The 23836-nt window shown below is 40.7% G+C and overlaps 1 long non-coding RNA gene and 2 pseudogenes across 3 annotated transcripts in view, besides 4 other annotated features; 2 read left to right on the top strand and 1 right to left on the bottom strand.

Moving 5' to 3' along the window:
- Window positions 1–372: 372 nt before the first annotated feature.
- TPTE2-AS1 (TPTE2 antisense RNA 1) overlaps window positions 373–23836 on the bottom strand; it is a 27157-nt gene continuing 3693 nt past the window's right edge. Inside the window, exons 4-5 of one of the 3 annotated variants that reach the window (NR_172899.1) lie at window positions 21678–21817; window positions 373–900 (exon numbers count right to left, since the gene is read on the bottom strand). This is a non-coding gene — a long non-coding RNA (TPTE2 antisense RNA 1). Of the gene's footprint in view, window positions 901–1478; window positions 1793–21677; window positions 21818–23836 lie in introns of those variants that run through there. The other 2 variants (NR_172898.1, NR_046988.2) reach the window with 2 other exon arrangements.
- Window positions 716–785: an enhancer, noted in NCBI's record as "active region_7405". NCBI's record gives its function as "activates an Ori minimal core promoter by ATAC-STARR-seq in GM12878 lymphoblastoid cells {active_cell/tissue: GM12878}" and the evidence as "EXISTENCE:reporter gene assay evidence [ECO:0000049][PMID:35858748]".
- Window positions 1116–1335: an enhancer, noted in NCBI's record as "active region_7404". NCBI's record gives its function as "activates an Ori minimal core promoter by ATAC-STARR-seq in GM12878 lymphoblastoid cells {active_cell/tissue: GM12878}" and the evidence as "EXISTENCE:reporter gene assay evidence [ECO:0000049][PMID:35858748]".
- Window positions 1526–1575: an enhancer, noted in NCBI's record as "active region_7403". NCBI's record gives its function as "activates an Ori minimal core promoter by ATAC-STARR-seq in GM12878 lymphoblastoid cells {active_cell/tissue: GM12878}" and the evidence as "EXISTENCE:reporter gene assay evidence [ECO:0000049][PMID:35858748]".
- Window positions 1666–1846: a silencer, noted in NCBI's record as "fragment chr13:20161162-20161342 (GRCh37/hg19 assembly coordinates)". NCBI's record gives its function as "represses an EF-1alpha promoter that drives an FKBP-Casp9 reporter gene in an ReSE screen in K562 erythroleukemia cells {active_cell/tissue: K562}" and the evidence as "EXISTENCE:reporter gene assay evidence [ECO:0000049][PMID:32094911]".
- MRPS31P2 (mitochondrial ribosomal protein S31 pseudogene 2) overlaps window positions 20047–23836 on the top strand; it is a 16253-nt pseudogene continuing 12463 nt past the window's right edge.
- Window positions 23672–23836, top strand: part of GOLM2P1 (GOLM2 pseudogene 1) — a 7365-nt pseudogene continuing 7200 nt past the window's right edge.

Here is a 23836-nt window from a genome sequence, read left to right as displayed (position 1 = left end):
GACTCTGTCTCAAAAAAAAAAAAAAAAAAAAGGGAAGAATGGTGTTACTTGCCTCAGAAAAATTTGTGAAGATGAGATGATACATATAAAGCACTTATTACAGCCTCTAGTACTTAGTAAGTGGTCAATAAATGCTATTATTGCTATTGATCATTTGAATAACAATGAGGTATATAGTTTGCCTCATTTTTTATAGTTGTGATAATGGAATGAATTAACTTTGTCACAGCAAAAGAAGTTTAAAATGTTAATTGTGTATCCTGATAGAAAATATAAAACATTTTTATTTTTTAGAGACGGGGGTCTTGCTATGTTGCTCAGGCTGGTATCGAACTCCTGGTATCAAGCTATCCTCTCCCCTCAGCCATTGTGCCTGGTTAATATAAACATTTGTTTATTCATTCCACAAATATTGATTGACCATGAAGGATGTACCAGACACAGTTCTAGGCTCTTGGGAAAAAGTAGAGAACAAGGCTGACAGAGGTCCCTGCTCCCCTAGAGCTTACATTTTAGCCAGAGGCGGATGATGAAAAAGGAAACAATGTAATTCACAAGGCCTGTAAATTCCACCAGGGTAGAGAAGGTGTTGCATTTGTACCTTGATCTATCCCAAGTGCATAAGACAGGGCATACGAGCAGGCACTCAATGAATGTGCTGAATGACTGGAAGGAGATTATTTCAGATAGTGCTGTGTGCAAGAAGGCAAGGAAACGGCCCGACATGACAGAGCGGGAAGGTCGGCTTGGCTAGATGCGATGTACTCCTGAGAAAGCCCTGCTGAGCTAAAGCAGATGGTGTGAAGGAACCAATCATGGGACAGTCTTTGGGACGGCTATTCCAGGCCAAAGAAGATTCCGTGCCTAAGCTGAAGGCCCCAAGGCAAGGCTGTGCTGGACCTGCAGAAAGAAAGATGGAAAGGAATGAATGAACCCCACAGTACAGGGACCAATCATTTGTGGGTCTTTGGCAGGCCTGTCTTTCATCTAACAGGAGACTGTTTTTGCCTCCAGAGGGCACTTGAACATAACAAATGCATCTAAGGGCCAGCTTGGGTTAGCACTTAGAGAAGCAGTTTGCCGAAGGCATAACTTGAGAGGGCTAGGAATGCAAGAAGAAAATAATCTCAGCTGAAGCCTTTGCTTATTGAAATTTGAAAGCACCTCTTTTAAAAATTAAATTTTCTTGAGATAGTTAGTACAATAAGCTAGCAATGTGGGCTTTCATACATTAGTGTTAGTTTAATAATATAGCCCTCCCCCTGGTGGATAGATGAGAGAGGGGTTTGACAGGTGTAGGAGAGGGGAGGAAAGGCTAATTTAGAGCGGTCTTGGCAAGGGTGTCAGGTGTGGGTGAGACCCAAAGCAAGGAGGCTCTAAGAAGCTAGAAGGCCACATAGAGACGGCCAAGGGACAGGAGAGAATGAGTACAAGAAGTCAAGAGGATGGGCTGGGGGAACCAGAGTACTTTGATGTACTTTAGAAAGTGTCCTGAGGACAGTTCTGCCTGGTCATATCTCTGTCATCTCCAAAAATTATGTGCTAAGCACTGTTTCAACTCAGTTCTATGTCACATGCTGTGCAATACACATTAGTGTGACATGATCCTGGTCTTCCATGCACTTAAAATCCAAAGCAATTTTACACATAAATGTACTAAGAATGAGTCATTTTTCATGGAGGGGAAAGATGAGTATCTAGATAATCTAACTTGAAGGGCACGAAACCACTTCCGCTTCTGTCTGATCTCCTGTAAGTTCCGCTGCTGCGGGCCTTTCCGTGCCTCTCCCCCGGAAGTTCCGCTGCTGCGGGCCTTTCCGTGCCCCTCCCCCGGAAGTTCTGTTGCTGCGGGCCTCTCCGTGCCCCTCTCCGGTAAGTTCCGCTGCTGAGGGCCTTTCCGTGCCCCTCCCCCTTACTTTGTCATTTGGCTTTGGGCTCTAAAGACCTTGTGAAGAAGGTAATGGGATCTAGAAGACTCATCCATCTGGGTGCAACCTCTCTGGGCCCCCACAAGCCTGGCACCTGTTGCATTGCATATCTGGTTAGATTACCTGCTCCACATCTGTGATCCCTGCTGGATCACCAGCCCCTTGAAGCAGGGAGCAAGTCATACTCATCCGTGTATTTAAGGGGACTAAAGCTTCATTCTTCACACAGTGTTATACATTTACACTAATATCTATCTATGTATTATATAAACATGCATGTATGTTCATCTATTGCTATTTTTTTGAGACAGGCTCTGAACTCTGTCACCCAGCCTGAGTGCAGTGACATGATCATGGCTCACTGCAGCCTTCGTCTCCTGGGTGCAAGCAATCCTCCCACATCCACCTCCCAAGTAGTTGGGACTGCAAGTGCATGCCACCACACCCAGCTAATTTTTTTTTGGTATTTTTTATGGAGATGGGGTTTTGCCATGTTGTCCAGCTGGTCTCTAACATCTGGGCTCAAGAAATCCACACACCTCGGCCTCCTAAAATGCTGTTTTAGGCTGTGTTTGATACTGTAATTTGATCTGGTTTATAAGATAGACCAGCTGGACACACACACACACACACACACACACACACACACACACACACACGCTTCAAATATTTCATTTGGGCAGCTGGACCAATCCCTTCCGGGTGGTCCTTCTGCACCCATGCAACCTCCCAGAGCAAGTCAGATTCTTGACACTGGTCCTTCCTATCTGCTCATCCCACTGGAGAAGACTGAGAATGCCTATCTGTATCTCAGGATAGGACCAATCCTAAGTTTTCAGGCTGGCTTCATCCAAAGATATGCTATACTTTGGAATACAGAAAAACTCTTCATAACATCCAGTGCTAAATATATTTATTGCTTTATAATACAATGGAATGCAAGAGCAACGCTATTTTCACTTAGACTTATGCCTTTTAGTGATAGATTCAAGATTCTGCAGCACCATGAATTATTAATAGCTGGAAACAATATTCTTATTTCTTAACATTATTTCATTTTCTTCAGCCCTTGCATGTGGCAATATATTAACATTCTTAACAACATTCTGGACTGTTTGATAAGGTCGACTAATGAAAGTTCACTCTTACATCCATAAGTAGTAATTGCTAAAAAAATTGTGTTCTCTAGGAGTGGCTACATTAGAAATCAGAAGATATCCTTATAAAGACCAGTGTTTACTAACCTTCTAGATAACAACCTCACCCAAAATTGTTTTTTTGTATAACTTCCTTGATTTTATATAGACTTTTAAAAAAAATTTTTTTATTTTTTATTTTTTTTTTGAGATGGAGTCTCGCTTTGTCACCCAGGCTGGAGTGCAGGGGCGCGATCTCTGCTCACTGCAACCTCTGTTTCTGGGGTTCAAGCAATTCTTCTGCCTCAGCCTCCTGAGTAGCTGGGACTACAAGTATGCACCACCATGCCTGGTTAGATTTTTTATTTTCAGTAGAGGCAGGGTTTCACTGTGTTGGTCAGGCTGATCTTGAACTCCTGACCTCAGGTGATCCACCCACCTTGGCCTACCAAAGTGCTGGGATTACAGGTGTGAACCACTGCACCTGGCCTATGTAGACTTTCAAAGGATATTTCCATTCCACCTTTCCATTTTGACTATAACAGCTGCAAACACTTATATAGTGCATACTCTGTGCTAGACACTGCTATAAGCACTATTCCATATTTTAACCCATTTAATCCTCAGAGCAACCCTGCAAGGTAGGTGCTGACATTATTCCCTTTTCCACTGATAAGGCAACTGAGACACAGAGAGGGTGCAAAAACTTGCTCAAAGTCCCACAGAGAAAGGCAGGGCCTGGCTGCCTGGTTGCACCTATCCTGCAGCATGGCAATGTTCCGCTGTGTCTACTCAACACCTGAGCACTGGAGGCTTAGTGTGATTGCTTTATTCTCTGGCTTTTTCTTTCTTGGGAGAAAATTTCAAGTCATTTAAGAACATATATTAGAATTTTCTTTTTCTAGTGATGAACATTTTGTGAGCAGCCTATTATGACACGTGGCACCCTTCAAATTGCTTAGTCCACAAATTGTACCAGCCCCCTGCCTTGCCTCTTTACCTGAGAACTGTCTCCATGTATTAAAGAGTTAAGGAGGCTGGACGCAGTGGCTCATGCCTGTAATCCCAGCACTTTGGGAGGCTGAGGTGGGCAGATCACTTGAGGTCAGGAGTTCGAGACCAGCCTGACCAACAGGGTGAAACCAGTCTCTACTACAAAAACACAAAAAATTAGCCAGGCGTGGTGGCGGGCACCTGTAGTCCCAGCTACTCGGGTGGCTGAGGCAGGAGAATGGCATGAACCCGGGAGGCAGAGCTTGCAGTGAGCAGAGATCATGCCACTGCACCCCAGAGCAAGACTCCGTCTCCAAAAAACAAACAAACAAACAAAAAACAAAACAGAAAGTAGCCAGGTGTGGTGGCACATACTTGTAATCCCAGCTACTTGGGAGGCTGAGGCATAAGAATCCCTTGAACCTGGGAGGTGGAGATTGCAGTGAGCCGAGATGGCACCACAGAACTCCAGCCTGGGCGACAGAGCGAGACTCTGTCTCAAAAAAAAAAAAAAAAAAAATTCTTGCCTTGCCTACCTTGATTGTTATGATGATCAAATTAAATGTGTGTGGCAGCTCTTTACAAAATTGTATATGAAGCAAAATATGAAGTTGTTAAAAGATCATCAAGATGGTTGGAAATTAAACCAAAAAAAAGAAGCCATCAGAATTGACTGATGAGGAAAAACCTAAAGAATCCACAAGAAAACTAATAGAACTGATAAACAAATTCAGTAAAGTTGCAGGATTCAAAATTAACATACAAAAAATCAGTAGCATTTATATATGTCAATAGTGAACAATGTGAAAAAGAAATTTAAAAAGTAATCCCATTTACAATAGCCACACATAAAATTAAATACCTAGGAATTAACCAAAGATGTGAAAGGTCTCTATAATGAAAGTCATAAAAGATGGATGAAGGAAATTGAAGAGGACACCAAAAAATGGAAAGACATTCCATGTTCATGGATTGGAAGAATTGATATTTTTAAAATGTCCATTCTATCCAAAGCAATCTACAGATTCAATGCAATCCCTATCAAAATACCAATGACATTCTTCACAGAGATAGAAAAAAAAAATCCTACAATTTACATGGAACCACAAAAGACCCAGAGTAGCCAAAGCAATCCTAAGCAAAAAGAACAAAATTGGAACAAATTATAATACTATAATGTGATTCCTCCAATCTCTAGTATAATCAAATTATACTAGAGAGCTATAGTAGCCAAAACAGCATGGTACTTGCATAAAAACAGACACATAGACCAATGAAACAGAATAGAGAACCCAGAAACAAATTCATACACCACAGTGAACTCACTTTCAACGAAGGTGCCCAGACATACATTGGGGAAAAGAGAGTCTCTTCAATAAAGGGTGCTGGGAAAACTGGATATCCATATGCAAAAGAATAAAACTAGACCACTATCTCTCCCCATGTACAAAAATCAAATCAAAATGGATGAAAGACTTAAGAACTCAAACTATAAAACTGCTACAAGAAAACATTGAGAAAAATCTCCAAGACATTGGTCTGGGCAAAAATTTCTTGAGCAATATTCCATAAGCACAGGCAACCAAAGCAAAAATGGACAAATGGGATCACATCAAGTTAATAAGCTTCTGCACAGCCAAGGATACAATCAACAAAGTGAAAAGACAACCCACAGAATGTGAGAAAATATCTGCAAACTAGCCATCTGACAAGGGATTAATAACCAGAATATATAAGGAGCTCAAACAACTCTATAGGAAAAAAAATCTAATAATCTGATCAAAAAATGACAAAAAGATTTGAATAGGTATTTCTCAAAAGAAAACAAGTGGCAAACAGACCTATGAAGAGGTGCTCAACATCATAGATCATCAGATACATGCAAATCAAAACTACAATGAGATATCATTTCACCCCAGTTAAGATGGCTTATATCCAGAAGACAGGTAATAACAGATGCTGGTGAGGAGGTGGAGAAAAGGAAACCCTTGTACACTGTTGGTGGGAATGTAAATTAATACAGCCACTATGGAGAACAGTTTGGAGGTTCCTCAAAAAACTAAAAATTGAGCTACTTTGTCATCCAACAATCCCACTGCTGGGTATATACCCAAAAGACAGGAAATCTGACTATAGAAGAGATATCCACACTCCTGTGTTTGTTGCAGCACTGTTTACTATAGCTAAGATTTGGGAACAACCTAAGTGCCCATCAACGAATGGATAAATAAAATGTGGTATATATACACAATGGAGTACTATTCAGCCATAGAAAAGAATGAGTTCCAGTCTGTGCAACAATATGGATGGAACTGGAGGTCATTATGCTAAATGAAATAAGCTCAGAACAGAAAAACAAACATCTCATGTTCTCACTTATTGGTGGGATCTAAAACTCAAAACAATTGAACTCATGGTCATAGAGAGTAGAAGAATGGTTACCAGAGGCTGAGAAGGGTGGTGGGGAGTTGGTTGGGGGAGGTGGGGATGGTTAGTGGGTACAAAAATAGAAAGAATGAATAAGACCTACTATTTAACAGCACAGCAGAGTGACTATAGTCAATAACTTAATTGTATATTTTTAAATACCTTAAAGAATGTAATTGGATTGTTTGTAATTCAAAGGATAAATGCTTGAGTACTCCATTCTCCATGATGTGATTAATATGCATTGCATGCCTATATCAAAACATGTCATGCACTCCATAAATATATACACCTACTATGTACCCACAAAAAAATTTAAAAATAAATTTTTAAAAAAGAATACACTGATGAAATGAATGGAATTAATTAAAAGTTTCCTAGGATGTGGTAGCAAGTCTCTGAAAATGGTCCCCCAGTGAGCCACTGCTACTGGTACCAGCAAGGAAATGTAGTTCCTTCCCTTTGAATCTGGACTGGCCCTGTGACTCATTCTGCACCAGTAGAATGTGATGAAAGTGATGCTATGTGACTTTCCATTCTGTGCAGCTATAACCTGGTGTGAATGAATGCTCACTTTAAGGCAAGTCAGCTGCTCTGTAAGAAGTCCAAATATGCTGAGATGCCATGTTTTGAGGAAGCCCAACCTAGCCAGGTACAAAGGTTATAGGGCAAAGGTGTAGAGAGAGGCCCAGTCAGCCCCTGTTTCTTCCAGCTATTCCAGCTGAGGCATCAGATGTGTGGGTGAAGAAACCATCCTGGACATTCAGTCTTATCTGATGGCAACCACATGAGAGATCAAAGTAGGGACCACCTAGCTGAGCCCCGTCCACCACAGAACTAGGACAGATAATAAATTGTTGTTTTAAGATACTAAGTGTTAGGATGGTTTGTTTTGCAGCAATGGATAACTGGAATATAGGATGATTTTGTTTCTTCATTTTCTTGTAAGGCTTGTTGAGTTAATTAGTATAGAATTTTATGAGATACCTAGGACAAAGTCACCGATCTATATCAGGAGCAATTTCAGTTGATTTTCTATTTCTTGCCAAAGGTGCCTTGTTTCTAAAGAGTACATTTCCAGGGGGCCCTGGGAAGAAAATGACTGGTGAATCAAATACCATAATAGAAAGTTAGAAGAGGAAAAACATCTTCTACTTTCTGGCTTTATTTTTGTCACTCTCATAAATGATTGCTCTGGAAAAAAAATTACACAAGTTATATTAGTTTTTCAAAGCACAGACTTTTGAAATTTGTGGGGAATTTATTGAAATTCTCTTTATGGTTTAATTTATGGCTAACTAGAACTACCCTATTAATTCTCTTTTTTATTAAAGTCTTATTTATTTATTTAGAGACAGGGTTGTCTCTAAATTTATTTATTTATTTAGAGACAGGTTGGAGTGCAGTGGCTCAATCACTGCTCACTGTAGCCTCCACCTTCTGGGCTCAAGCAATCCTCCCACCTCAGCCTCCCAAGTAGCTGGGACCACAGGTGCACCATGCCTGGCTAATTTTTTGATGCTTTTTTTGTAGAGACAGGGTCTCCCTACATTGCCCAGGCTGGTCTTGAACTCCTGGGCTCAAGTGATCTTCCTGCCTTGGCCTCCCAAAGTACTGGGATCACAGGCATGAGCCACCGTGCTCAGCCTAAAAGTCAGGTTTATTGAGGTATAATTTATATGTAGTAAAATTCACAGTATAGGTGTACAGATTTATGAGATTTGACAAATGTGAGAGGTCATATAAGCCCACCAGAGTCTTAGCAATCTCTTAATAGACTGTTTCAATATCCCCCAACAGGGTCCTCCTGCCCCTCTGTCATCAATTCCTTCCTTCCATCTCTTTTTCCTGGTAACCAGGGATCAGATTTGTGTCCCTATAGCTTTGTCTTCGCAATGTCATGTAAATGGAATCATACAGGATTGGTCATCTTATGTCTGGCTTCTTTCACTTAGCATAATGCCTTTGAGATCCATCCATATTGTTTCAGATTTTTACCTTTAGTACTGTACCAATTACATCAACTTCTTTATGTGTATTCTAAGGGCCTGCAGAGTTTTGAATAGCTAAATAAGACATAGGGACATGGCAATGTTTCTCAAAGCTCTGTCAGAGGAACACCTGCAGAATCACCTGGGGTCCTTGTTGGATTCTCAGATTGAGATCTACTGAGTCAGTGTGTCTGAGCTACTACTCAGTAATGTGTGTTAACAAACACCCCCGTGTGACTTTTACACATGACTAAAGTAAGAGACCCTCAGCTATTCCAGAATGAACAAGTATATCAGATGGTCCTGAGTTAGAATGTGGCTTTGCCACTTATTAGCTGTATGAAGTTGGGCAAATTACTTAAGATCCCTCTGCACCTGTCTCTTCCTTTTTAGTTGGAAACAGTTAATTTATTCACCAAATATTTTCTGAGCACCTATTTTTAATTGCAGGTACAGTTCTAAGAACTAAGCTTGCAGCAGCTGATAAGACAAAGTCCATGCCTTCGTGAAGCACATATTCTGTCACGGCAAGATAGACAAGCATTTTAGCACATAAATATATGAGATAATTTCAGATCATCGATAAATACTCTGTAGAAAATGAAACAATGTTTTGACATCAAGGGTACCTTAGTTAAGGTACAGCCTAGGCTACTTGTAACAAAGAGACTGGGAAATACATTTAAACAAGATGGAAGTGGGTTCCTCCTCTTTTCTCCTTAACTGTCTGAAGGAGGTGGTGAAATACACATGTAGAATGCCTTTGTCACCCACATCTCTACAACCTTCCATTTTTCTGTTGTCTAGTTGCTTCAATTCCTATCATCTTGTCTGTATTCCAACTAGGAGAAAGGAGAAAAAGGTTGTGGGAATATGTGCCCATTTTTTTAAGGGTACATCACTTCTGTTCACATTCTATTGATTAGAACTTCTAGTCCATGACACATCTATCTGCAAGGGAAGCTGGGCAATGTAGTCTCTATCTCTGTGGCCACATGTCCAGCTAAAATTCCAGACGAGGATGGCTATAGGTGGACAAGAGCAATCCCTGCCAGAGTGCAACTGGATGAGACTACATTAACCACGGTAGTCAAACAAAGCCTCTTTTATAAGAAAGTGATAGTTGAAGGAACCAAATGGTAGAGAAGGCTAAATTTCAATTCCTGCTTGTGACCCTCGGTCGGGCACTTTCATATAGTCACAGCCTATCTGCCCTCATGCAGCAGGGAGGTAATTTACTGTGTCTGCACTACCTTAGAGTAGATTAAGAACAGGGTAACTGGGACAAGATCTTCCCCTAGAGGAAACTGTGAAATTGAGATGGAAGTTTCCATCTCCTTTGTCAAGAGTTTTTAGGGTTTTTATTTTTATTTTTTTCTGGTTTTTTTAAAATTATACTTTAAGTTTTAGGGTACATGTGCACAACGTGCAGATTTGTTACATATGTGTACATGTGCCATGTTGGTGTGCTGCACCCATTAACCCGTCATTTAACATTAGGTATATCTCTTAATGCTATCCCTCCCCGCTTCCCCCACCCCACAAGAGGCCCCAGTGGGTGATGTTCCCCTTCCTGTGTCCGTGTGTTCTCATTGTTCAATTCCCACCTATGAGTGAGAACATGCGGTGTTTGGCTTTTTGTCCTTGGGATAGTTTGCTGAGAATGATGGTTTCCAGCTTCATCCATGTCCCTACAAAGGACATGAACTCATCCTTTTTTATGGCTGCATAGTATTCCATGGTGTATATGTACCACTTTTTCTTAATCCAGTCTATCATTGTTGGACATTTGGCTTGGTTCCAAGTCTTTGCTATTGTGAATAGTGCTGCAATAAACATACGTGTGCATGTGTCTTTATAGCAGCGTGTTTTATAATCCTTTGGGTATATACCCAGTAATGGGATGGCTGGGTCAAATGGTATTTCTAGTTCTAGATCCCTGAGGAATCGCCACACTGACTTCCACAATGGTTGAACTAGTTTAGAATCCCACCAACAGTGTAAAAGTGTTCCAATATCTCCACATCCTGTCCAGCACCTGTTGTTTCCTGACTTTTTAATGATCACCATTCTAACTGGTGTGAGATGGTATCTCATTGTGGTTTTGATTTGCATTTCTCTGATGGCCAGTGATGATGAACATTTTTTCATGTGTCTTTTGGCTGCATAAATGTCTTCTTTCGAGAAGTGTCTGTTCATATCCTTTGCCCACTTGTTGATGGGGTTGTTTTTTTCTTGTAAATTTGTTTGAGTTCATTGTAGATTCTGGATATTAGCCCTTTGTCAGATGAGTAGATTGCAAAAATTTTCTCCCATTCTGTAGGTTGCCTGTTCACTCTGATGATAGTTTCTTTTGTTGTGCAGAAGCTCTTTAGTTTAATTAGATCCCATTTGTCAATTTTGGCTTTTGTTGCCATTGCTTTTGGTGTTTTAGACATAAAGTCCTTGCCCATGCCTATGTCCTGAATGGTATTGCCTAGGTTTTCTTCTAGGGTTTTTATGGTTTTAGGTCTAACATTTAAGTCTTTAATCCATCTTGAATTAATTTTTGTATAAGGTGTGTAAGGAAGGGATCCAGTTTCAGCTTTCTACCTATGGCTAGCCAGTTTTCCCAGCACCATTTATTAAATAGGGAATCATTTCCCCATTTCTTGTTTTTGTCAGGTTTGTCAAAGATCAGATGGTTGTAGATATGCGGCATTATTTCTGAGGGCTCTGTTCTGTTTCATTGGTCTATATCTCTGTTTTGGTACCAGTACCATGCTGTTTTGGTTACTGTAGCCTTGTAGTACAGTTTGAAGTCAGATAGCATCAAATAGATGCAATAAAAAATGATAAAGGGGATATCATCACTGATCCCACACAAATACAAACTACCATCAGAGAATACTATAAACACCTCTACGCAAATAAACTAGAAAATCTAGAAGAAATGGATAAATTCCTCGACACATACACCCTCCCAAGACTAAACCAGGAAGAAGTTAAATCTCTGAATAGACCAGTAACAGGCTCTGAAATTGATGCAATAATTAATAGCTTACCAACCAAAAAAAGTCCAGGACCAGATGGATTCACAGCTCAATTCTACCAGAGGTACAAGGAGGAGCTGGTACCATTCCTTCTGAAATTATTCCAATCAATAGAAAAAGAGGGAATCCTCCCTAACTCATTTTATGAGGCCAGCATCATCCTGATACCAAAGCCTGGCAGAGACACAACCAAAAAAAGAATTTTAGACCAATATCCCTGATGAACATCGATGCAAAAATCCTCAATAAAATACTGGCAAACCGAATCCAGCAGCACATCAAAAGGCGTATCCACCATGATCAAGTGGGCTTCATCCCTGGGATGCAAGGCTGGTTCAACATACACAAATCAATAAACGTAATCCAGCATATAAACAGAACCAACGACAAAAACCACATGATTATCTCAATAGATGCAGAAAAGGCCTTTAACAAAATTCAACAGCCCTTCATGTTAAAAACTCTCAATAAATTAGGTATTGATGGGACATATCTCAAAATAATAAGAGCTATCTATGACAAACCCACAGCCAATATCATACTGAATGGGCAAAAACTGGAAGCATTCCCTTTGAAAACTGGCACAAGACAGGGATGCCCTCTCTCACCACTCCCATTCAACATAGTGTTGGAAGTTCTGGCCAGGGCAATCAGGCAGGAGAAGGAAATAAAGGGTATTCAATTAGGAAAAGAGGAGGTCAAATTGTCCCTGTTTGCAGATGACATGGTTGTATATCTAGAAAACACCATCGTCTCAGCCCAAAATCTCCTTAAGCTGATAGGCAACTTCAGCAAAGTCTCAGGAAACAAAATCAATGTGCAAAAATCAAAGCATTCTTATACACCAATAACAGACAAACAGAGAGCCAAATCATGAGTGAACTCCCATTCACAATTGCTTCAAAGAGAATAAAATACCTAGGAATCCAACTTACAAGGGACATGAAGGACCTCTTCAAGGAGAACTACAAACCACTGCTCAATGAAATAAAAGAGGATACAAACAAAAGGAAGAACATTCCATGCTCATGGGTAGGAAGAATTGATATCGTGAAAATGGCCATACTGCCCAAAGTAATTTATAGATTCAATGCCATCCCCATCAAGCTACCAATGACTTTCTTCACAGAATTGGAAAAAACTACTTTAAAGTTCATATGGAAGCAAAAAAGAGCCCTCATTGCCAAGTCAATCCTAAGCCAAAAGAACAAAGCTGGAGGCTTCACGCTACCTGACTTCAAACTGTACTATGAGTTTTTAGGGTTTTTAAAAACCCATTTGAAGGATATTATAAGAAATTGAAAAAAGGTGAAGTAACTATTAAATGTGATCCAGATGGACTACTTAGTATACTCAAGAATGGATTTTCAACTGGGTATCAAGTGATATCAGAAAAGTGTGCCCTATTGCTAATATTATGTTTATTGATCCATGTGGAGGTTTATATAGGTGAATATAACTCTGTGATCATTCCTTAAACACATTTTTGGTTAGGTGCGGTGGCTCATGCCTGTAATCCCTGCATTTTGGGAGGTGGAGGTGGGCGGATCACCTGAGGTCAGGAGTTCAGACCAGCCTGGCCAACATGGTGAAACCATGTCTCTACTAAAAATGTAAAAATTAGCCAGGTGTGGTGGCGCATGCCTCCCAGCTACTTGGGAGGCTAGGGCAGGGGGATCGCTTGAACCTGGGAGGTGGAGGTTGCAGTGAGCTGAGATTGCACCATTGCACTCCAGCCTGGGTGACAGAGCAAGACTCCATCTCAAAAATAACAAAAATACATTTTCATCAACATATTTATAATTCATGTACTTTTCTGTATTGAAGTTGTTAAAGTTTATAGGAGGCCATAGTTTTGGACAAGCTTCCTGTACTAGCCTGCAGCACACCAGACCAAAGAAGAATAGTCACTTGTGCCAAGTAATCAAACTGAACTTTGAAATCGGGGGCAGTTTTCCAAAAGCAGGAGATTCACAGCACCAATCAGAGGGGGTCTAGTTTACCTGAGCCAACACAATGATAAGGAAATCCCCTCTGTTTTAACCCTATAAGGAAGGTAACTTCGAAATGACCAATCTGATTTTTGTTCCCTTTTTCTATTTTCTTCAACCCTTTTGTGCCTATAAAGCCAAACCCCTCTGCTCAACTCACTAGAACACTCATTTTATTTTACCGAATGAGATGTTGCCCTATTCTAGAATCACAAATAAAAGCCAATTAAACTAAATTTGCTGTAATTTTGTCTTTTGAAAAAGTTATGCTTCAATTTTTTTTTAAAGTTTATTTACAAATAAGATAAAGTAAGCATCCCCAAGTGTACTGTGTAGAGCATTCAGTCACAAAGTTTCTATTAGTGTTGGTGGATCTCAGGAAGGTCTGCTCAATGTAAGCTATGTTTTAGCATCACAAAATCTCACCTCCCCACCTTGATTATTTTTTGAGAGGACAGGAAAATGTTGATGTAAACTTGGGAATGCCTTTATGGAATTTTAGGCTAGTGGTTCCCATGTGTCCTATTAGCCAACATTTCCCACCAGATTTATTCTCATGCCCTTCCAAGTTTGGGAACCCCACATCTTTTCTGGGGTCATGGTTCCCCATTTCATGAAGGACAGGTAAAAGCGCACTTGCATCTTTCTTTTTTTTTTTGAGACCAGGTCTCACTCTGTTGCCCAGGCTGGAGCGCAATGGTGAGATCTCAGCTCACTGCAGCCTCCGCCTCCCGGGTTCAAGCGATTCTCCTGTCTCAGCCCCTCGAGTAGCTGGGATTACAGGCACTCGCCACCACGCCAGGCTAATTTTTGCATTTTTAGTAGAGTCGGGGTTTCACCATTTTGGCCAGGCTGGTCTCGAACCCCTGGCCTCAAGTGATCTTCCCACTTCGGCTTCCCAAAGTGCTGGGATTACAGGCGTGAGCCACCGCGCACCGGCCTAAATTCTTATGTGTTTTTTTTTCTTGAGTCTCACTCTGATAAGAGTCTCACTCTGTCGCCCAGGCTGAAGTGCAGTGGCACAATCTCGGCTCACTGCAGCCCCCACCTCCTGAGTTCAATTGATTCTTCTGCCTCAGCCTCCTGAGCAGCTGGGATTACAGGCATCAGCCAGCACGCCCGGCTAATTTTTCTTGTGTGTTTTTTTAGTAGAGACGGGGTTTCACCATGTTGGCCAGGCTGGTCTCAAACTCCTGACCTCCAGTGATCCACCTGCCTCTGCCTCCCAAAGTGTTGGGATTACTTATAGGCGTGAGCCACCGTGCCCGGCCATAAGGCCATTTTTGAAAAATGAAACCTAGGTCTCATTTTGATTCTACATCAGTAATAAAGACTGAAAGGAAATGCTAATTCACAGGGCAGCAGGTTTTTGTTTGTTTGTTTGTTTGAGACAGAGTCTCGCTCTTTCGCCTAGGCTGGAGTGCAGTGGTGCGATCGCGGCTCACTGCAACCTCCGCCTCCAGGGTTTAAGCGATTCTCCTGCCTCAGCCTCCCGAGTAGCTGAGACTACAGGCGTGCATCACCACACCTGGCTAATTTTTTGTATTTTTAGTAGAGACGGGGTTTCACCGTGTTAGCCAAGACGGTCTCGATCTCCTGACCTCGTGATCTCCCCGCCTCGGCCTCCCAAAGTGCTGGGATTACAGGCGTGAGCCACCGCACCCGGCCTGTGTTGAGGTTTAAAAATGTGTCTTTTAATGATTTTTGCCTCCCCTCCCCCTTTTTCAAGGACTCTAAGGTGCACGGGATTAGGTTAGTCATGATCTTTGCTTCATAAGGCACTGTCATCATTGCTTCACACATAGCCTGCTTTTTTTCTTTGTATTATATATTGAACCTTCATTGATATGGTTACCATAGCTACACTACCTCCCAAACATAGTGGCATAAAACATTCATTCATTATGCTCACAGATTCTGTGGGTTAGCAATTTGGCTAGAACACAGTGGGGAAGGCCAGTCTGTGCTCTGTGATGTCTGGGGCCTCAGTTGGAAGGCATGGAAGTCTGAGGCTGGAATCGTTTGAAGTTTTCTCACTCATAGGTCTGGCAGTTTTTGCTGGCTGTCAGCTGAGACCTTAGCTGGGGTGGTTAGCAGAAACACCTACATGTGGCTTTCCTCGTGGCCTGGGCTTTCTCACTACATGGTCGCTGGGTTCCGGAGCGGGTGTTTCAAGAGAAAGTGAGCCAAGAGAAAGCTGTATTTTCTTTTTAATGACCTAGCCTTGTAATAAGATTGGACATTACCGTGTTCATCCCTGTTCCACATTGATTTTCCTGGGATATTTGTTTTTATCACAACCACTCCTGAGAAACCATCTTAACAAAGATATAATGTTATTGATAGGAATGGGGCAATATACAGGTGGCCCTCTGTATGCGCAGGTTCTGCATCCACAGATTCAACCAAAATCTGATTGAAAACATAAAAAATATACAGTATAACAACTACTTACATAATTAGGTATTATAAGTAATCTAGAGATGATTTAAAAGTATTCGGGAGGATGTGTATTACTTATATGCAGGTACTCTGCCTTTTTATATAAGGGGCTTGTGCATCCATCCTGGGGGTGGCCACAGCTGTTCTTGGAAATAATGCCTGTGTCCCATGGCCCCACATCCCCCAATCCCTGCAGATATGGACTGCTGCAATGTTACTGTGAACTGCTTAGTTTACATCATTATTGACAGATGCGGTTGTATTTTCCTGTGGTGCCCCAGAGTGCCTTAGGGCACAGTTTGGGAAGCAGGGTCCCAAGTGGAGAGCTTATGTCTTCTCTGCTCATCTTTAGCTAAGGTAGATTCAAGGCTGGGATCTGGAATCGTCTGAAGGCACTTTTCCAGTGGTTGATACTGGCTGTTGGCTGAGGCTTTAGCTCGGGCTCTTGGCCAATACACTAACCCATGGCCTTTCGATGTGGCCTGGGCTTCTTGCCTGGTAGCTGGGTTCCAAAGACAAATGTCTTGAGGGATCAAACTGAAAGCTGTATCACATTATTTGATCTAACCTCAGAAGTCACAGTGTGTTACTTCTATCTGGCAGTCACAAAGTTTCCCCTGGTTTTCAGGGAGGGAAGATAGAGTCTCTCTTGATGGATATGTGGCAATGTTTTGGAAGAGCCATGTGGGACCAGAAGTAATGCTGTCACTATTTTCTGAAAGTATAAGCTACTTTGATTATACATCTGGTACCTGATAACTGTAGAATGTCAGCTATATTGTAGACAACATTTTCATGACAAAATTGACCCCTAATTGATAGATTGCATCTGGCCTGGGAGAACTACGGGTACCTGATGGGTATATCATATTTAGGACTTAATGCAGAGATTCTTCTTCTTTTTTTTTTTTTGAGATGGAGTCTCGCTCTGTCGCCCAGGCTGGAGTGCAGTGGTGCGATCTCATCTCACTGCAAGCTCAGCCTCCTGGGTTCACGTGATTCTCCTGCCTCAGCCTCCCAGGTAGCTGGGACTACAGGCATGTGCCACCACACCTGGCTAATTTTTTTGGTATTTTTTTTTTTAGTAGAGATGGTGTTACACTGTGTTAGCCAGGATGGTCTCGAACTCCTGACCTCAAGTGATCCACCCACCTTGGCCTCCCAAAGTGCTGGGATTACAGGTGTGAGCCACCACGCCCAGCTAAAAGCTTTTTCTTATGAAAAATTTGAAACATATGCAAAGAACACAAAATGGTATAACCTCTTTCTACCATTGCCCAGATTCAACAGTGATCAACATTTTGCCATTCTTGTATCATCTATGCCTTCACCCAGTTTCTATCTCCTGCTTGATAATGATTTATGGCTCTTTTTTTTCAGGTAAAATTTACATATATTAAAGTGTACAAATCTCAGCTGTAGGATTTTGACAAACAGTAAGCCCCGGTGACCCACACACTCACCAAGACACTATGTTTTTCATTTTCACCTTCCCAGTCAATAGCCATCTGTCCTGAGGCAATTGCTGTTTTGATTTTTTTTCTTTTTCACCTCAGATTAGTGTTGCCTATTCTGGAACTTGATATAAAAGGAATCATACAGAATTTTACTTATTTATTTATTTTTAAGAGAGAGTCTAGCTCTGTCGCCCAGGCTGGAGTGCATTGGTACAGTCTCCGCTCGCTGCAACCTCCGTCTCCTAGGTTCAAGCGATTCTCATGTCTCCGGAGTAGCTGGGATTACAAGCATGTGCCACCACGCCCAGCTAATTTTTGTATTTTATATTCTTTGTGTCCAGCTTCTTTCAATTGATCTAATGTTTATGAAAGTCATTTATGTTGGCATGAGCTGAGTACTCTTCCATTGTATGGATATATCACAATTTGTTTTTCTATTCTAGTGATAGACCTTTAGGTTGGTTGCAGTAAAGCTTCTGTGAACTGGTTAACCTGCCTTAATATTTGCTTGCAATATATACTGCTTTTGAAATACAATAGCATTTAATTAAAAATTCCACTAATTTATAATTTTTGAGGCTGATCTGTCCCTCACCCCTCCACCTTAATATATTGTTCTGAGTTAGTGTTGTACTTCAGCAAATATCCATTAATTTTAACATTTAACATTTCAAAGTTTATTTCAAAGTTTATATAAAACTGGTACCTAATAGTTGAGAATTCTTGCTTTTGCCAGAAATTGAATTGAATACTTTTTTGAACACCAAAGTTTTCCCCCAAAAATCATTTTACCTTTCACTAAACTAATGAACTAATGGCATAATAAGCAATCTCTCTTTTTTTTTTTTTGAGACGGAGTCTCGCTCTGTCTCCCAGGCTAGAGTGCAGTGGCATGATCTTGGTTCACTGCAACTTCCACCTCCTGGGTTCAAGCAATTCTCTTGCCTCAGCCTCCCGAGTGAGTAGCTGTCACTACAGGTGCACACTACCACACCTGGCTAATTTTTGTATTTTTAGTAGAAACGAGGTTTCACCATGTTGGCCACGCTGGTCTCAAACTCCTGACCTCAAGGGATCCCACCTGCCTCAGCTTCCCAAAGTGTTGGGATTACAGGTGTGAGCCACTGCACCTGGCCAATCTCTCTTTTTTATTTCTCATTTGTTTTCCATTTTATTTTTCAGAATTGAGTCCCTAAGTCCTGAGTTGGTGGCAGCTGCATCTGCTGTGGCAGATTCTCTCCCTTTTGACAAGCAAATAACCAAGTCAGAGCTGTTGAGGCAGCTCCAGCAGCATGAGGAAGAGTCAAGGGCACAGAGAGATGCAGAGAGAACTAAAATTAGGTGAGTGAATCAAACCTTTAAGTCAGTAATGTTTATATCTCAAAATGGGCCATTTTCATGTGGCTAGTGGGTAATACACATAGTATATACCACATAAGTGGAATTTGTATATAGCATGTATGGCATAATTTTAGCAATTCAATTTTTTTTTAAAACTTAAGACATAAGTATGACTATAGTTATTAAGAAACCAATTGAATAAAGTTTCCTTTTAGGAAGTTACAGTTTCTTGTCCATGAAAATAGAAATGGTAAATTCAGTAATGTTATTAAAAATAAATAACAGAATAAGGTAACTTCTCTGAGAAAAGTAATTTTTTTCAGTTAAGTAGCTTGTTGGTTTTATGCACAGTATGATAATCTTCAGGTCTGTTTCCTTCTCTTTTTCCTCCTATTGTTATGTATCAGCTGACATCTTTCCACTTATTCTCTTCGTCTCTCATTATTTTATGCCATGTTATACTACTTGCTGCCTACTTTATAGTAAGTGGTAACACTGCTTTATTTTGTAGAGTGATCTAAATCAGTTGTTCTCAATGAGCATGTGTACCAGATTTATTTCAAGAAGTGAAAAGAAATGGCCATATGCGCTGGCTCATGCCCATGATCCCAGCACTTTGGGAGGCTGAGGCAAGAGGATCACTTGAGGCCACGAATTTGAGACCAGCCTGAGCAACAAAGCAAGACCCCATCTCTACAAAACATAAAAAAATTAGCTGGGCACAGTGGCTTGTGCCTGTAGTTCTAGCTACTTTGGAGGCTGAGGCAGGAGGATCACTTAAGTCCAGGGTTTGAAGCTGCATTTAGCTGTGATCTCACCACTGCACTCCAGCCTGGGCAATAGAGTGAGACCCTATCTCTAAAAGAAATAGTAGTTTTTTAAAAAAGGAAGACATAGATATCTGGACTGTCAGTTCAGTGACTCATTTTATTTGTGTTTGAACAAATACAAAGCAGCAAATAAATATGGCTAACTCTTGGTTTTAATTTAGTTATCAAATGTAGGTGATAGGTATACAGATACTGATTTTACTTTCCTATCATTTTCTCTGAATAATTTTTCATGAGACACTTAATGATTTAAATGAAGATTTCTGAAGAACATCTTTAAAAGATGAAAGTAAACATTAATTGTAATGTTCTGTGTTATGTGAGTGTTAATAGGTGACTTTTTATTTAAACATTTTTATGCTGTATAATTAGTACACAAAAATGAAATAAGAATTAAATGATATCAGTCTCCTGTTGAAGAAAGTTTTTACTGTTCTGTAGCTAAGATTTCTAATACACTTGACCTTTTTATTATTTCAGTTTCAGTAACGTAATATCAGATATGAATGTTGCCAGATCTGCTACAGCTAGAGTTTGTTCAAGACCAGAGCATCAGATTCAGTTTGACAAGGGCTATGACAATTATCCTGGCCAGGAGAAGACTGCTGATCTTACAAAAAGGTATCAGGCTTTGTAATCTTCTGGGTTTTGTTTGTGTAGTTTGTTTTTACCTTAACTGTAGACTTTTACCTTATTGCGTGTGTGTATTATTGCTGTTGGATATCTGAGCATTATGAATGCATTTACATCTGTGTTCTTACTCTCTGTATACCACTTCCTAGAGAGGGAACCATGTGCTGGATTTAGCCAGTCCTGCAGTTTTCCATACCTGAAATCAAAGTGGGCCATGCTTCACATCTACCCATGATGAATAGTGGTCTTTTGATTTAGAATAAGAAGAGCTGACTGAATTCTGAACAAATAAGTATTTTGTGAGAAACATTATTTTTCATTTTGAATATAAGTGACTAATACTGTGTATTCATATCCCCTTTATATCTCAATACGTGCTTATCTTTTGGTGTACCTTAGAGAAATAACCCACCATCAATGAAAAGAAGGAAAGGCAAGAGGAAAAAAGTTTATATAGTACCTTAAAGTGGTAGATTATTTGTGGCCATTTGAATTTACTGATTTGAAGTTCTTAAAGATGCTGAGCCATGCCTTACATAGTTATTTTAGAATCTAAAGTTGTTCTGTATTTGCATAAAGTTTCTGTTCTTTCTCACCTTTAAACCCTGAAAGTGATAGCTGGGAAGGAGGAACCAGATATTTGGCATGGTCTGCAAACATTAACTTGTCTTTACAGCAGGATATGCTCACAATTGGAGTGTTTTCAATGCATTATGTATTCTGTGGATTTAAGTGAAATCAGAAACTTGAGTTAACTCCTTCCAGGTGTTAAATTACTGATTTATACAGGAAAGTTGGAAAAGGTGGTCAGCAGTTAACACAGGAAGTTCAAGAGGTTATGGTGACTTTGGAAGATTATTTGAATTACTAAAGTGATTTAGTGTCTGTTACATACTATTGAATACAGGAGAGGTCTACTTGGAGTTTTACTTAATAATATTTAACTGAGTCGGTTAATTCTCGAGAATATTTAACTGAATCATTCATCTTGGACATGATTCTGTGCAACTACATTAGGATGGTATATTATAATTTGATTTTTAATATTATATTTGATATTTAATATTTTTAAAATTAGAAGCTAAAATAGGAAAGGGGTTTCTTTGCCTCCAATGTGTTAAAAAGCCAGGGAGTAAGGGGAAGCAATGATGAGACACCAAGTTGTTCACCCTGCTGTGACTGGGGTAGGATCTGGGGTGTTAACCCCAGACAACCCAGGCCTGGACTGATTCCTTCTGTTGGAGATTGACAGTTCACACTGGCCTGCCTCAGAATGTTGGCATTGCCACTGACTGTTCTGTGACTGGGCACCTTTTGTAGCCTCCATCAACCTGTTTCCCCAGCTATAAAATGCTGAAAGTGAAACCCAGCTTAAATGGCTTTCTTGAGGAATAGATCTGGTACACAGTAGGTGCTCAGCCAATGTCCATTCCCTTTCTTTATAGTACATTACTCTTTTGAAATTCAATACTTTACCAAGACATTTGCCCTCTGCTGTGACTTGCTTTAATCCACCATCCTATTTGCCAGACGTGCAGTTGAGGGAGAAGAAGGCAAGGCAGTGAAGAGAGTTCTGGAGCATAAAAGCCTTTGTTTATAAATAACTTGGGAACCTGCTAGAGGAAAGATTATATGTTTGAGATCACGTTATTTAACGTTCATATGGTATTTGCATTTTTTCCAGTTATTTCTGTTCAGTAGAGAGAAGTAATTTAGTTTATAAAAAAAAACAATAATTCATTTTTTTTTTTTTCAGACAGAGTCTTGCTCTGTCGCCCAGGCTGGAGTGCAGTGGCATGATCTCGGCTCACTGCAAACTCCACCTCCTGGGGTCAAGCGATTCTCCTGCCTTAGCCTCCCAAGTAGCTGGGACTCAGCCTCCCAAGTAGCTAGGATTACAGGCATGCGCCACCATGCCCAGCTAATTTTTTTGTGTGTTTTTAGTAGAGACAGGATTTCACCATGCTGGCCAGGCTGGTCTTGAACTCCTGACCTTGTGATCTGCCCTCCTTGGCCTCCCAAAGTGCTGGGATTACAGGCATGAGCCACCACGCCCAGCCTCAAAATTATTTTTAAAACTAACCCCCGACTTTATTTTTTATTTTTATTTTTTGAGATGGGGTCTCTCTCTTATTGCCCAGCCTGGAGTGCAGTGGCACAATCTCAGCTCACTGCAACCTCTGCCTCCTGGGTTCAAGGGATTCTCTTGCCTCAGCCTCCTGAGCAGCTGGAATTACAGGCACCTGCCATCACATCCGGCTAATTTTTTTGTATTTTTGGTAGAGATGGGGTTTTACCATGTTGGCCAGGCTGGTCTCGAACTCCTGACTTCAGGTGATCCACCCACCTCGGCCTCCCAAATGCTGGGATTACAGGCATGAGCCACCTTGCCTGGCCAACCCTCCAGTATATAAACTGGATTTTAACCTGCCACTAGATTTATTCAAGTAAATATATGAATTGATGCATAAAGCAGTTGATTATCAAATGTGCAAGAAAATGTCACCTATTAACTCTCTGATATTAATTTCAATAGCTAATTTAAAATAGTCATGTAAAGAAGGTTAATAATTATTTTAAAATTACAGAATGATTGCTTTATGAAAGGGAATGTTGTGATTTGCCTATGCAATTTTTTATAATTATGATTTATAATTAAACATTGCAGTGTTTTCTGCCCTTAAAGACAAATGTTGACTTTAACAGCTTCTATTTTAGCATAGTTTTATAGTTTTTCACAACATGGAGTTTTTAAAACCTTAATATAAATGGGAAAAAATAAAAATTATGGCAAATTAAGCTAATCTTTTCAATTAGGTATTTTGGAAATTAAATTGCTTTAACTAATTTGTTGTATATGAAGCAAAACTTCAAGTGCACATTTCTGTTTTTAGTTTATTGGTCCTAAAAATGTGTCAATTTAGCTAAGATTTTTGATGTGGGTCAGTGGAATTATTTTTAATTTCTACATAGAATATTTCACTTAAGATACTTTCTCATAATTTTTGTTGACAGTTTAAAATATATTCATTAAAATGTTATTTTCTTTTTTTTAGACTTAGGAAAAATATATTCACGGGGAAAAGACTTAATATTTTTGACCTGACGTCAGTTACTAAAGACACACCTGAAACAGGTTTGTTAAGAATAACACTATTGGCCGGGCGCGGTGGCTCACGCCTGTAATCTCAGCACTTTGGGAGGCCGAGGCGGGCGGATCACGAGGTCAGGAGATCGAGACCATCCTGGCTAACACGGTGAAACCCCGTCTCTACTAAAAATACAAAAAATTAGCCGGGCGTGGTAGCGGGCGCCTATAGTCCCAGCTACTCGGGAGGCTGAGGCAGGAGAATGGCGTGAACCCGGGAGGCGGAGCTTGCAGTGAGCCGAGATAGCGCCACTGCACTCCAGCCTGGGCGACAGAGCGAGACTCCGTCTCAAAAAAAAAAAAAAAAAAAAGAACACTATTGGAGGTGTTGGGTTCGGGGCGCGGGCAGCTGGGTTCTCCCTGTTCCCTTGGGCAGGTGCACGGTCGAGGGGTTCAAAGCCTCCGGAACGCGTTTTGGCCTGAGTTGGGGAGCGGAGCGGGGAGGGACCTGCGGCTTGCTGCCCCGCCCCCTTCTCCGGCTCGCCGC

The sequence above is a fragment of the Homo sapiens genome, chromosome 13, assembly GCF_000001405.40.
Source record: "Homo sapiens chromosome 13, GRCh38.p14 Primary Assembly".
In the NCBI taxonomy this organism is placed as follows: Eukaryota; Metazoa; Chordata; class Mammalia; order Primates; family Hominidae; genus Homo; species Homo sapiens.
This window is presented reverse-complemented; position numbering and strand designations above follow the sequence as displayed.